Source organism: Homo sapiens, chromosome 20 (assembly GCF_000001405.40).
Source record: "Homo sapiens chromosome 20, GRCh38.p14 Primary Assembly".
Classification (NCBI taxonomy): Eukaryota; Metazoa; Chordata; class Mammalia; order Primates; family Hominidae; genus Homo; species Homo sapiens.
This window is the reverse complement of record NC_000020.11, coordinates 13,018,322-13,031,815: the sequence shown is the minus strand read 5'-3', so window position 1 is coordinate 13,031,815 and position 13,494 is coordinate 13,018,322. Positions and strand designations below refer to the sequence as shown.

Sequence of the window (13,494 nt, the reverse complement as noted above, 5' to 3'; positions counted from 1 at the left end):
AACTGGAACATATTTCAGAAATAGAGTACCCATGGGACTTAGTCTTTTTCCATCTCAGGTGAATACTAGTAGCTGCAAACACTGTGCAAAGCTTGACTTCCACGTGCGTGTACCTGTGTTGGGCATGGGAAAGATCACTTGGGTAGTGTCTTACAGCACCCAGCCTCATGGAGGTCATGGGCTAGTGGAGAGAAACCATGTGCAAAATAGAACAAAAATAGAACCTTTTAAGACTAGAGAGCAAGAAGTCTAGCCAAGTGCCATAGCAGTGGTGAAAAGGAGACAAGGAGTTTGATAATTTATTTCATGTTTATACATCTGTTCATTCATTCATTCCAAAATTATATATTGAGCACCAACTCTGTGCCAGCTAGTGTGCTAGGTTCAGGTGAAATGGTGTGAGCAAGAGGGACAGAGGCCCTGCTCTCACGGTTTAGATCTATGCTGTTCAATACAATTGTTGCTAGCCATATGTCGTTAGTTACATTTAAATTTCAATAGTTTAAATTAAGTTTAGAGATTGAGATCTTCGATTGCACTAGCCACATTTCAAGTGCTCAATATTCTCATGTAGTTGGTGGCTACCTTACTGGACAGGACATTTATAGAGCATTTCCATCATCATAGGAAGTTCTATTGTCCAGAAGTTGGCAAATTATGGCCCGCAGCCTAATTTTGTAATAAAGTTTTATTGAAACCCAGCTGTATCCATTTGTTCATGTATTGCCTATGGCTGCATTTCCGGTGCAGTGGCAGAGTTGAGTAGTTGTAACAGAGACTGAATAGCTTACAGAGCTGAAAATATTTACTATCTATCAAAGGCTGCCAACCCTTGGTCTGGAAGGAAATACGGATGAACAATATTTAGAAAAAGGAAAATTATAAGTAATTAAGAGTGCTGTGGAGTGGTTATAGGATGGGATCTGACCTAGTTCAGAAAAAGAGAAGGTCCTCCCCAAAGAAAATGAAGTTTTAAATAAAATCTGAATAATCAGTAGGAGTTTACCAGGAATAAAAAGTCTTCCAGGCAGAAGGAAGTGCTTGAGGAATGGTAAGGAGGGTGTGCGGTTGGGGTAGCTCATGGATAGGGAGGGGCAGGCATGGCTGAATGTCAGTTCCAGGAGGAGGACCTCCATCCACTTTGTCCATTGCTAGTAGTACCCCAGTTCCTAGAACAGTGTCTGACATGTAACAGGGGTCCAGTAAATATTTAATGAATGAAGGAACAAATGTAAGAATGAATAGGCTGAGGAGGTGATGCAGGGCTGGCAAATTGTGTTAAGGATTGCAGCTTTGATCTTAACACGGGAAGCTACTGATGAGTTTAAACAAATGGTAGCCTGATCAGGCATGGTTCTTGAAAGGGCCATTGGAAGATGATGTGGTAAATAGATCTCCAGGGAGCCCCCGTATTCAGTGGTTCACAGTGATTTGTGGTTAGTCATTTTAAAATCTCTTTTATATTCGTGGTGGAAGAAAATTTGATGAGTCCAGCTTACTTAGTTGGTTCTGAAATTTCAAGTCTCTGACCAAAATTCAAAAGGCTAGTCTCCTAAATTCCACAGGAATGAACCAACAACAGAGGTGTGTTTTGACATCACAGTGTGGTGTGCCCTGTGGCATTTCTTCACAGTAGGGGCAGCCAGTGACTCATGGATGAGTTATTATGAGGGTGGGGCTCCTGGAGGCACATGCAATGTGGTTCTGACAGTCATTTGGCTGAGCTCCGTGGACTGAACTTGGATTACAAACCACAGTTTTTCTTTTTGAATCAAAATAAACCAATTTCTTCTTGCACCTCCTTGCTGAGCTACTATACCTAGGTCCCACCCAAAATTTCCTGTCCCCTGATGCTAGACCAAACAGGGACTGCTATTCAGCCACATGTAGAAGCAGAAGGCTCTCTGACCTAGAAAGAGAGAAACTTGCCAAGGATTCAGCAGCTGTTCCCTTCTCTGTGTGTTTATTAGGAATTGGTGTGTGGCTGCACATAGCCTATTACCCCATATAACTTGGTTCATCTTTTGGTTTCCTTTGAAGACAGAATGTATCCTTACAGATTACACTTAGTTGAAATATACGGATTCCCTGGCTGAGATCTTTTGTTTGCACTGAAAGCAGCACATGTTATTTTACTTTTCATGAAAGCCTTTTGCTTCCATGAAAAATAAGTATATTGTCTCCAAACAAGTAATTCGCTAAGAAAATGGCACCACAACAATTTATTAATTTGCTTCCAAAAAGTCTAATAATATCCATGATCATAATTATAATTATCTGATTAATTGTTTTCAAGTGCCATATAATATAGGAAAAAATAACCTCTCCCAGAGCAAGGCTAATCTTGACTAGCAATACTCCTGAATCAACCAGCTTTGTATAACCAGGCATGTTTTAGCCATCATAGCTCCTGAGCCGAAAGAAGTGAATAGGTGAAAAGCATGAGTTATCTGACTGGAATATTAAGATTGACATTATACTTAACAAAAGCGAACTGATGTCTGTGACTTGTTTAATTCAACCATTGAATCATTTTCGCAGGTCACCATGTGGAGCACTTTTATTTCTGAGTACTATACTCAGTCTGTAGGGACGTGATTCAGTTGTCTTGCTAAGAATGAACCAATGGGAAAGGATGGATTCTTAAAGAAAAGGCCAGCCCCTCCTGTCATAAGCTAACAAACTAACCCGAGATGTACTTCAGCTGTGGGATATCTCCAGGTGCCCCAAATCATTTGCATGGGTGGACAAATAGTGTTACTGTCAAGGGCTCCTTCGGAGTTTGTTTCTGGTTTTGTGATGTGTAAGGGAGTACAGTGTTACAGGCAAAGGGCACAGGCATGTCTTGCCCTGGATTGGCCGTTTTGAGATCTTGGGCAAGTGACTATACCTGTTTGAGTCTCTGTTGCTTCCTATTTTAAAATAATAGCCAAATAGCTTCATCAGCAGTAAAGGATACGAGTGTCCCAAGGCTGTGTTCCAGGTCTGAATATCACACTCTTGTGAGAGAACAAAGCATAAATAATTCAGCCTTAAAGGAAGTGGAAGCTAGTTACTGTTGTTGGCTTTGATCCTGGTTTTGACAAAATGCAAAACCAGCAGAGAAGAATAGTCCATTCTTATCTTGTATCTACTTGTTGGTTAGTCTAATAGTTCCTAAATACTAGTCTATAACACTTTAAAGACATGTATGAAAATTTTCACTGATGTATGGTAAAATTTAAAAATGATATATATGTGTAACATATAAGTATATTATGCTTGCAAGTATATACATATATGGACATCTTCCTAGGGACTGTCTCTTAATCAGACATCATGTCCATAATATCTTTTAGGGTGAATTTATGGACGATAGTGATAGTGGATAAGGGGTTATTAGATCTTTTGAATCATGGCAGAATAAAAACTTTGGTACAATATAATTCACTTAAAAAAAACTCACAGGTCTATGAAATTCTGAAGTCTGATTCCACTGGACTGAATCACCAGACATCAGCCCCCTGAGCTTTCACACTTTGTGAACAGAAACTTCTGGTCCTGTTGAGAAATGTATTACTAAGATCTTAAAAAAAATCATATAACATGGTTCTCTGAGATCTGATATCCGTTCTGCCATTATTATTCTAATATGTAAGAAGTTCTGGAGCCAAGTTTCCTTAGGACTAATTATCAAAGTAGGTGGTTGAAAAGCATGTTATGTTGCAAGAACCCAAGAGTTCCAACCGTGTCATCAATGCCTCTGCCTTGGGCAAACTCAACAAAGGAACCAAGGCGTGAATTGACTCGTGTGCCCTTGCTGGGTCTAGAATTAACCATTCGTAATGTCAAGATTTTAAGAATAGAGCTGAGGCTGGTCAAAGACTCCAAAGAAGGTATTCTAAGAAATATACATCATATAAAACATAGAGATGTGATGACAAAGGTAAATAATTGTTTAAGAGAGATTTGTAGAAAATTTTGCTATCTGATATGCCATGTAAAATCACTTTGCTGCCTAGCTATAAAAGTCTTAGGTAGAAATCAGTATTATTCTTTGAGGCTTTTAGAATCGCATGGATTTTTAAAATTTTAGTAAGACTGATTCCCAAAGCTGTTCCTCTGGGCAGTTTAATAACTAAATTGACACTTTTGCGTGTGTGTGTGTGTGTGTGTGTGTGTGTGTGTGTGTGTGCGTGCTGAAATAGATTACTGAAGAACAGAGGCTCTGATTTTTTTCCTTCCTTCCTGTTCTTATGAGGGGAAGTGGACGGAGTTGTATGCACTGAATAAGGGCCTGACAGGTGTCTGCTGCACCCAGCCCTTGAAGGCATTCCTGAATGTAGAGTCGGCGTGTCTGTGTCTGGCATTATAATATTATCCAGCTCTGTCTCTATTATCTATGTGGTTTTGATCTCACTTTTCTGAGCCCCATTTTCTCATCCTAAAACAGGTCAGTAGCATTTGTTTATCTGCTTCACAGCACTGGATCACTTCCTGGATGACTGAGGGTACAATGAGATCCTGGATGTGAAAGGGACGTACAGACGTAAGGATCATTGTAGTTGATGCTGAAGGTTAAAGGGGTAAAAATTGGCCGTGTTTTATAAAAATCACTGTCTTAATTTTGGGTTCTCCAGAAGCAAACCTGTATAAAAGATTCAAATACAACCTGTTTATTTGGAAGGTTATCCCAGGAAGCACTGTTAGAGGAGGAGAGATGAGCCAGCCAGAAAAGGGAAGGAAACCAATGAACGGTGTGCTTTTAAGGCAGTTACCAGTGTGGGCAGCTGGAGCTCGCTTCCACCGGGGTCTGCAGAAGACAGTGTAGAACACACCTAAGAATTATCTTTCCCGAAGGATGAGGCTGCTGGGGTATTTATCATCCAGCTCCCATCAGTCAAAGGTTGAGCACTGCTTCTAGGGGGTGTTGAATCTCCGGTGCTTTTGGCCTGATGCCCACTAGGGAAGAACGGGCTCCAGTTCCTAGAACAGTGTCTGACATGTAACAGTTTTTCAGAAAGTTCTCAGAAAAAGGGCATGGGAATTGGCCATTGGAGAGGAGGCTGTGCACATGGAAATGGTAACCGCCAAGAGCAGAAGTGGACATGGCACCAGCAGGGTCTGCTATGGTCATCCGAGTTTCAACACTGCACTTTGTTCGCACCTAACCTTAATTTCTTAATATTATTATACTCTACTATTCAGTTTGTTTTTATTTGAAGACGTATTGATGCTTTATTCAAGTATATTTCTGTCACTGTGTGTTAAAGGATTCTGCAGGCCGAGGACACGAACAGACACTTCTCAAAAGAAGACATACACGTGGCCAAAAAGCATATGAAAAAACCTCAATATCACTGATTAGAGAAATGCAAATCAAAACCACAATGACATACCATCTCACACCAGTCAGTACGGGTATTACTAAAAAGTTGAGAAATAACAGATGCTGGCAAGGTTGCAAAAAAAAGGGAACACTTACACACTGTTGGTGGGAGTGTAAATTAGTTCAACCATTGTGGATGACAGTGCAATGATTCCTCAAAGAGCTAAAAACAGAACTACCACTCAACGCAGCAATCCCATTACCAGGTACCTGCCCAAAGGGATATAAATTGTTCTACCATAAAGAAACATGCACATATATGTTCATTTTAGCACTATTCACAACAGCAAAGACATGGAATCAACCTAAATCCTTATCAGTGACAAACTGGATAAAGAAAATGTGTTACACATACACCATGGAACACTATGAAGCCATAAAAAAGAACGAGAGTATGTCCTTTGCAGGAGCAGGGATGGAGGTGGGGGCCATCATCCTTAGCAAACTAATGCAGGAAGAGAAAACCAAATACCATATGTTCTCAGAAGTGGGAGCTAAATGCCTAGAACACATGGACAGGTATAGAGGAACAACACACACTGGGACCTAATGGAGGGTGGAGGGTGGGAGGAGGGAGAAGATCTGGAAAAATAACTAATGGGTGCTTGACTTAGTACCTGGATGATGAAATAATAAGTACAACAAACTGCTGTGACACAAGTTTACCTATATAACAGGCCTGTGCATGTACCCCTGAACCTAAAATAGAAGTTTTAAAAAAAGGTTTCTGCAGGTCAACCAATATGCAACCTCTTGTCATATTCTGGCACTGTTTCACCAAAGAAGGGGCAGAGAGGGACATAAGGCAGATTCTTGCAAGGGTCAATATTAGTAATAGTGCACATTTGTAGAGAATTTCCTCTGGTGCCTGCACTGTTCTAAGGCTTTGCATGCATTATCTTATTAATTTCTCACCACCATCCAATAGGGTAGGCACTACTATTCACCTCATTTACCAGGTGAGAAAACTGAGGCACAGAGAGATTAAACTGCTTATGCAAGGTCACACCACCATGAAGCTGGGATTCAAGCTCAGGAAGTGTGAAAGTCAAATCCTGCTTCCAAGTTTTACATAATGATTCAGGTTACTAGGGTGATAAGGCTGTAGGGTGAGGTTACGTGATATTAGGAGTCAGAAGATCCTGCTTCCACTACCTGCCAGCTGTGTGGGTGATCATCTGATTTCTTCAAATCTTGGTTCATTATATGTGAAATTTGAAAGTCTATTGTAAGGATTGACAATATTTATAAAAGGGTGAACATATAGTAGTGTCCTCATGTATGGTAGCAGTTATTACCTGTATAATTATTTTCTCTGACGTGGTGATCTGTGACACGCAGAAAAGGAAGTTTTCTACATGTGGCTCTTATTTTGGGCCATAGGAAAGGAGTGCCTTTGCTTGTAACATGAGACAAATACAAGTTCACAATATCAATTTTGAAATTGATACTAAAGAAATTTGCAATAGCAGACATTATTTTAAGGATCATCAAACTATTATAATTCCTGGCCTTTGCTTTCTTCATGTGTTCAAGAAGACAGGGGATGGAGTGGAATTGTAAAGATTACTGAACTAAGTTCCTTTCCTGCTGGAGAGATTACACTAAAGACAAAGAGGAAAATAGCTGCTGATCGCTGTGGAATTATGAGTGTGTAGCAGGGGAATTTCTCTAGAAGACAGCCTTCTGGTGAGCTCTTCCTTTACGTCATTAGATGATGATTTACACATTAGCCAGTTCTCTTCTCCAGAGATTAAACTCTTTAATTTTAAGTGAGCAGTTTTAGTTCATCTTTCCACAGTCAAAACTACATTAGGAAACTTTCTCCAAAAAAGGAATCAAAAGCCAATGCAGGTCAAAACTCATTGAATGATATACTTCAGATTTGTGCATTCCATTGTATGTAAATTTTACCTCAAAAGAAAAAAAACTATAGAAAAATATTGAAGTTAATGGTATGCATGCTGAAGGGTTTAGAAGTGAAGTGTATTTATTCTACAACTTCGTTTGAGATGCATAAAACATATGGATGGATAGATAGATAGATAGGTAGACAAGTAGTAAACGTATAGCAAAATGCTAACTAGAATCTAGGTAGTAGATATATGAATATTTATTTAGAATTATATAAGGTTTTCTATAAATTTGCAAATGTTTACAATAAAATGGTGGAGGAAAGGGCATTTCATCTAATGATAAAAAGACAGGTCCTGTGACTAGATTGCACTGCTAACTATATGTTTTATCTCAGGCAAATTTAGTTAACTTTTGCATGACTAAGTTTAGTCATCTAAAAAATGACGATAGTAACAGTATCAACCTCACGTGGTTGTTGTGAGGGTCAACGGAGTTGGTTTTTGTAAAGTTCTTAGCATGTAGTGCAATGTAAAAGTTTGTTAAATAAAAGTTTTAAAAGTCGTCTCATATATGGGTCATTCATAGGAAAACAGATCGCATTTACTTTCTTGGACACTCGACTCTGAGAATGCAGTATTTTATTAGAAGCTGATGACAGCCCTACACACCTTGGGAGATTAGTCATTTTCCCTCTAATCCAGGCATATTTCATCTCCTGCTAAGATGCAGCAGGAATGATCAAGATGAATTAATAATATTTTATTTCTATTTTCATTCTCTTCAAAAAGTTCCACTGCTTAAAGCATGCTCCCTACCTCCAAGCTTGGAGTATATCATATCTGGATAGCAATAGAGAAGCATGTTGTTACCTGGTCACCAAAGTAATCTAATGACTTTGTGATTTTTAAAAAGGTGGTAGTAAATAGTAGCCATGCTGTCCAACAAAGCTTAAGAAACCTGTGAATTAATTAATAAGAGGTTATATACTTTGAAGTTTACAAAGAAGTCTGTGGATCATATGAGCAGAGCTTTCTTAGTCTTTTAGAGATCTAGGTATGTTAAATGGGAGTTCTTGCAAAGAACAGATTTGTAAAAACAGATAGTCTTTATTCATTCCATAAATATTTTTCAGCTCCTATTACATATAGGCTCTGGTCTAGGTACTAGAGATTCAGCAGTGAAAAAGATAGAAATTCCTGCCCAGGTGGACCTCACAGTCTAAATGTGGAGACAGGCAACAGATAGGAAATAAATTAATGTGTGCATGCATGTGTGTTTATGTGTGTAGGTATATGTGTGACTCTGTGTGTGTGTGTGTGTGTGTGCACATGTGCAGATGTTTTTAAATGCTAAAGAGAACAATTAAGCAGGAAAGGGGCCAGGAAGTTGGGGGGTGGGTTGCAATTTTAGAAAGCATGTGAGCCTGAGTCCCACAGAGAAGGTGCTATGTGAGTGAAGACTTCAAGTAGGAGAAGGGTGAGCCCTGTGGATGTCTGGGTAAAGGGTGTTCCAGGACGGGGGATGAGGAGTGCAAATGCAAATGTTGCAGGTGGGAGGACGCCATGGGTGGCTGGCTCCAGGAACAGTGAAGAGGCTGTGCAGCATCTGGGGTTAGAGTGAGCTCAGGGAAAGTAGCAGGAGATGAGTCACAGATGATCTGGCCAGGCTGTGGGGCCTTATGGTCGTGGTAAGTATTTTGTTTTTTGCTGTGAGTGAAATGGGAGCCATGGGAAGGATTTGGGCAGAAGAATGACATCTCTGGATTTTATTTCAGCAGCACTGGCTGCTGTATAGAGAAAGTCTAGTGGATTGTGGCAGAGGGGAGGGGAGGGTGGAAACAGGACATGGTGGTTTTTAAAACATGCTCATGAATTCTTTGCTACTCTTCCCATTAAGAGACAGGCTAATCTCCTCCCCTTGAACCTGGTGGGCTTGTTTATGGCTGCATCGATCCAGTTCACAGTCCTGGCTTGTCTCACCCTTTGGCCTTCCCAGCCCAGGTGCCAGGTGTGACACTGAGGAGGCAGTCTGGAAAGTGGACCCTCCTGGCCCAGCTTCTCCAGCCCAGCCAGTTGAGTCATCCTAGCTGAGACCCTAGACACCATGGAGCAGGGGAGAGCTGTCCTCACTGTTCCTTTTCTGAATTCCTGACCAGCAGAATCCACAAGCATAATAAAATCATTTTTTTATGCCACTGTGTGTTGGGCTGCATTGTTATGCAGCAATAGACAGTGGAACACAGATAAAAGAGTTGGAGCTCTGTAATACTTTAGGTGAGAGATAAAGGGGGCTAAGACCAGGGAGTTGCTGAGGGAAAGGTGAGAAGTGGTCAGATTCTAGATGTGCTGTGAAGGTCAGCTCATGTTTTACTGAGAGATAGAATGCAGAATAGAATGAAGGAGAAAAGTCACGAATGGCACCAGGGTTTATGGCTTGAGCCACAAGAAGGATAGAGTTGCCATTTATTGAGATGGGGAAGACTGTAAGGGAAATAGTTTTAGAGAGCGGGAGGAGGAAACATGAGGAGCACAGTTTGGTACATATTAAGTTTGAGACGACTTTTGATTATCCAAGTGGAAAGATCAAGTAGGCAGTCAGAAATGCCTATTTATGCATATACATTTACATATCTCTATACATCAAGTAGTCAGTTGGAAATGCCTATTTTATACATCTATCTACTTATCTATATCTATCTATCATCCATCTAATCTATCTATCATGATGTGTTAGAAATAAAGCTTGAAGTCGCAAAGGAAATGACACTCTGATAGTTGATTTCTCAGCAAGGCAAAGTTTACTTCTGCAGAAGGGTGCTGCTCGTTAGTTTGGTCACCACGAGAGCACATCAAACAAAGGAAAGCAGCAGATTTATCCCTAACACACTGGGCTCCTACTGCTGTGTGCAGTCTCCATTGGTTAGAGTTGGACCACACAATCTAAGCTGAACCCAGTTGGCTAACTTGAGACGTGCAGGGATGCAGTTACACTGACAAGAAAACAGTTTTGGTGGAGGTGGGGATGGTGGCGGGGGATTGGTGGGGGGGCTGTTGTGGTGGGGGGAGGTGATTTACAGAGTGAGTAGCAGATGTGGAATGTAGGCTCTATAGATAAGACTGAGAGGAAGGTTGTTTCCCAGGGCAAGGGAACACAGAGAGTAAGGGAGTCTGGCCTTGAAAGCAGGGAAAAAAGGGCAAGCAAACTTAAACAAGTTAACCCTTTGAAGAAGAATGTCTTACTGTATTTAACATGATGAAACAAGATCAGATCTTCATGAGAGATATGCAGTTAGAAAAGAATAGAGGGGCATAGACTAAGCCTTGGGTCATTCCATTGTTTAAAGGTCAAAGAGAGGAGGAGGAACCAAGAATAGAAAATGCATAGGAAAAGCTAGTGATAAAGAGGAAAATCAAGAGTGTAATACCCTGGAAGTCAAGAGAAGAATGTGCTTTGAGAAAGAGAGAGTGATTATTTTTCACTAATGCTGCAGACAGGTCAAGTAAAATGAAGATTGAGAAGTCATTATGGGATGAAGGATTTCAAGGGTTTATGGCTGTCATTTATTGAACATCTACTATATGCTGGGCATCGTACTGATTAGTCTTATGATAGCAGTAGAGAAGAAAGAGGTGACTGCAGGCTAATGTTAATAGATAATAATCATTTATTGACTATCTACTGTATGCCTGATAGTTATTGGGAGTCTTACATGTGCTATCTCATTTATTCTTTACCATAGCCTCATAAAGAATGGATCAGAGACATAAAGTTACCTTCCTAATATGGCCCAATTAGTAAGTGGCAGAACCGAGATTCAAACCCAGTTACATCTGATATCAAAGCTAGTGGTCTTTCTACTATCATTCCTCCTTAAGGAGTTCACATTTTCCTGGGACATCCTAAGGGGTGCGGGAGTGCGAAAAGCTACCACATAAACATCTTTCTGCGGAGTTCAGTTTTCTTCAAAGTTTTAAAAGAGTATATAAAAATAGTTTTACAGCAAAATAAATATTAATATATTATGTAATAAAATGCAAACTTCTAATATAAATGACAAAATATAGAGAAAGGGTCTCACTCTGTTGCCTAGGCTGGAGTGCAGTGGAGCAATCACAGCTCACGGTAACCTTGAATTACTGGGCTCAAGTGGTCCTCCCACTTCAACCTCCTGGGATAGCTAAGGCTACAGATGCATGCCACCACGTCCAGCTAATTAATTTTCTTTTTTTTCTTTTTTTTTTTTAAGAAATGGGGTCTTGCCATGTTTCCCAGACTGGTTTCAAACTCCTAGTCTCAACTGACCCTCCTTCCTTGTCCTCCAAAAGCTTTAGAACTATAGGCATGAGCCACCACACCCACCCTCTAATCCAATTTTTAAATAAATGTCTAACACACATGGGGCTTGCTGCCTCAATCACTTTGTGTTATGTGTGATATTCTCTTTTTTGGTGGATCAATTTGTGAATCCTTTACCCTGTCTTCTCTGGAACAGTTGATTTGCTGTTTTTTTCTAGTTGGATTGTAAGTGCAGAAATAGCCTAGTTTTATACAAAATTTCAGAGCCAAAGTTTCTAATCTGGGGATCTGAGGAAGTCAGGGAATACACACATTCTCTATGTAAAAAATTTTGCAGTTATGGACATATTAATTTTCATTAGAAAGTATATAACAGCTTCTCAAAGGAATCCTTGAACTCCAAAAGACTCACAACCACAAGACAGACAAATAAGAGCTGTGTATAACCCATAGGTAAGAGAATAATTAAGACTTGCACATAGCCTTTTGCTTGGGAAACTTTTGAAGGTCCAGTTAGACCAGATTTAGAGAACAATCTTGGTGACTAGACTTCATGAATACATCATCTAACGAAGGTTTGTGCACCACTGACTATGAAATCTGAGAGTTGTGGTTTGGTCAATAAATATCACCAGGTCTCTAACACTTTGATGAACACTTTGGGACTTAATATTTTAGATTTGGGTTAGTCAAGGAAATCTAGTGTATGTAGCTGGTCATAAGAGTTCCTCAAACCTGCAGAGTCTAGGGTAATTGTTAATATATCAACTCAGGAAAGTGAAGGTGGAAGACTCATCTATCACTTTTTGAAATATAAAGTAAATTAAATCGAGGCGAGCCAAATTCTCTGAGCCATTTTTCCTAAACAAATGAGAAAATAGCACTGTACTTAGGACTTTTTAGCCTATTTCCTACACTCTGTTTGCCTATAGTTTAGAGGTTACAAATTGGTGTTTGTTAGCAATGTTTTCTTTAAATCCACAGGATTTGAATTTTTAAAAATTAGATGCCAACATTTAGAAATCATGAGACCTCCTTTCCTCAATTTGGATTTCCAGCTTCTTTTAAAAGTTGGAAAAACTATCAAGATGGAGCCTGTTCTGTCTCTTGGAAACACCAGGCCTTGTTCATTTAAACCCATTCTTACCATCTCCTACTGTCCTACACAAGGCCCTGCTAGCTCCTCTAGGCATTTGCAATCTGAAACTCCGCTGGGCTCAGATGATCTTCAATATGTCAAAACTCTTCAGGAGAGCAGGATTCAGATGGCACTGTGATAGATAGATGAAGTAGATTGTGGAGGATAATTTTGAGTATTTCTCTGAGCTATGCTTGTAGTGTTTTTCCCCCAAAATAGTTAATTTGAACTCCAAATCACCGGAAAATATTTCTAATATGGTGGCAATAGATCTTTCTGTCGTAAATTTATAGATTGTAATACCTTAGAATTCCAGTAAAACTACATTAGTACAGGCCAACTGAGACAAAGGTAGCCATATTTACTAAAAACATTAAATATATTTCAAAATCAGCATAGTTGACTTCTTGCAATTAATTAGGTTAATATCAATTTACCTCAACAGTGAGAGAAAATTTTTCCAGGAAGCTTTAACCAATAGATAAAATTAATTTGTAATTGGCAGATATTAAAAATACTTAAAATATGTTAATTAAGCCAATGAAACACCTGAGCACACACACTTTATTGAGTCAACTATTTCTTCATAGACAATGTAATAAATTACAGACCTCCTAAGGGTTAATAATTACACTTCAGATTTGGCAATTTTCAAATGGGTGTGCTTTTGCATTGGTTTAGGTTCATTGTGTTTGGCTTTTACAGCCGGACACTCATCTCTGGTTAAGGGCTTAAGCATACAGTCCTTATGCCAAACAAAACAGAAATTTATAACTTATGAAAATGTGTCTTTGCCAATGATTAATAGCAAATTCATGGTCAAAGCAAACTCTGT

General features: G+C 39.6%; 1 protein-coding gene across 5 annotated transcripts in view, besides 1 other annotated feature; it reads right to left on the bottom strand.

The window, feature by feature from the left end:
- The window catches only part of SPTLC3 (serine palmitoyltransferase long chain base subunit 3), a 160,132-nt gene that overhangs the window by 137,288 nt on the left and 9,350 nt on the right, over positions 1–13,494 (bottom strand). The gene's annotated exons all lie outside the window — the stretch shown is intronic.
- Positions 1,136–2,335: an enhancer, noted in NCBI's record as "CDK7 strongly-dependent group 2 enhancer chr20:13010129-13011328 (GRCh37/hg19 assembly coordinates)". NCBI's record gives its function as "activates an origin of replication core promoter dependent on BRD2, BRD4, P300/CBP, MED14 and CDK7 cofactors, with strong dependence on CDK7, by STARR-seq in HCT116 cells {active_cell/tissue: HCT116}" and the evidence as "EXISTENCE:reporter gene assay evidence [ECO:0000049][PMID:35650434]".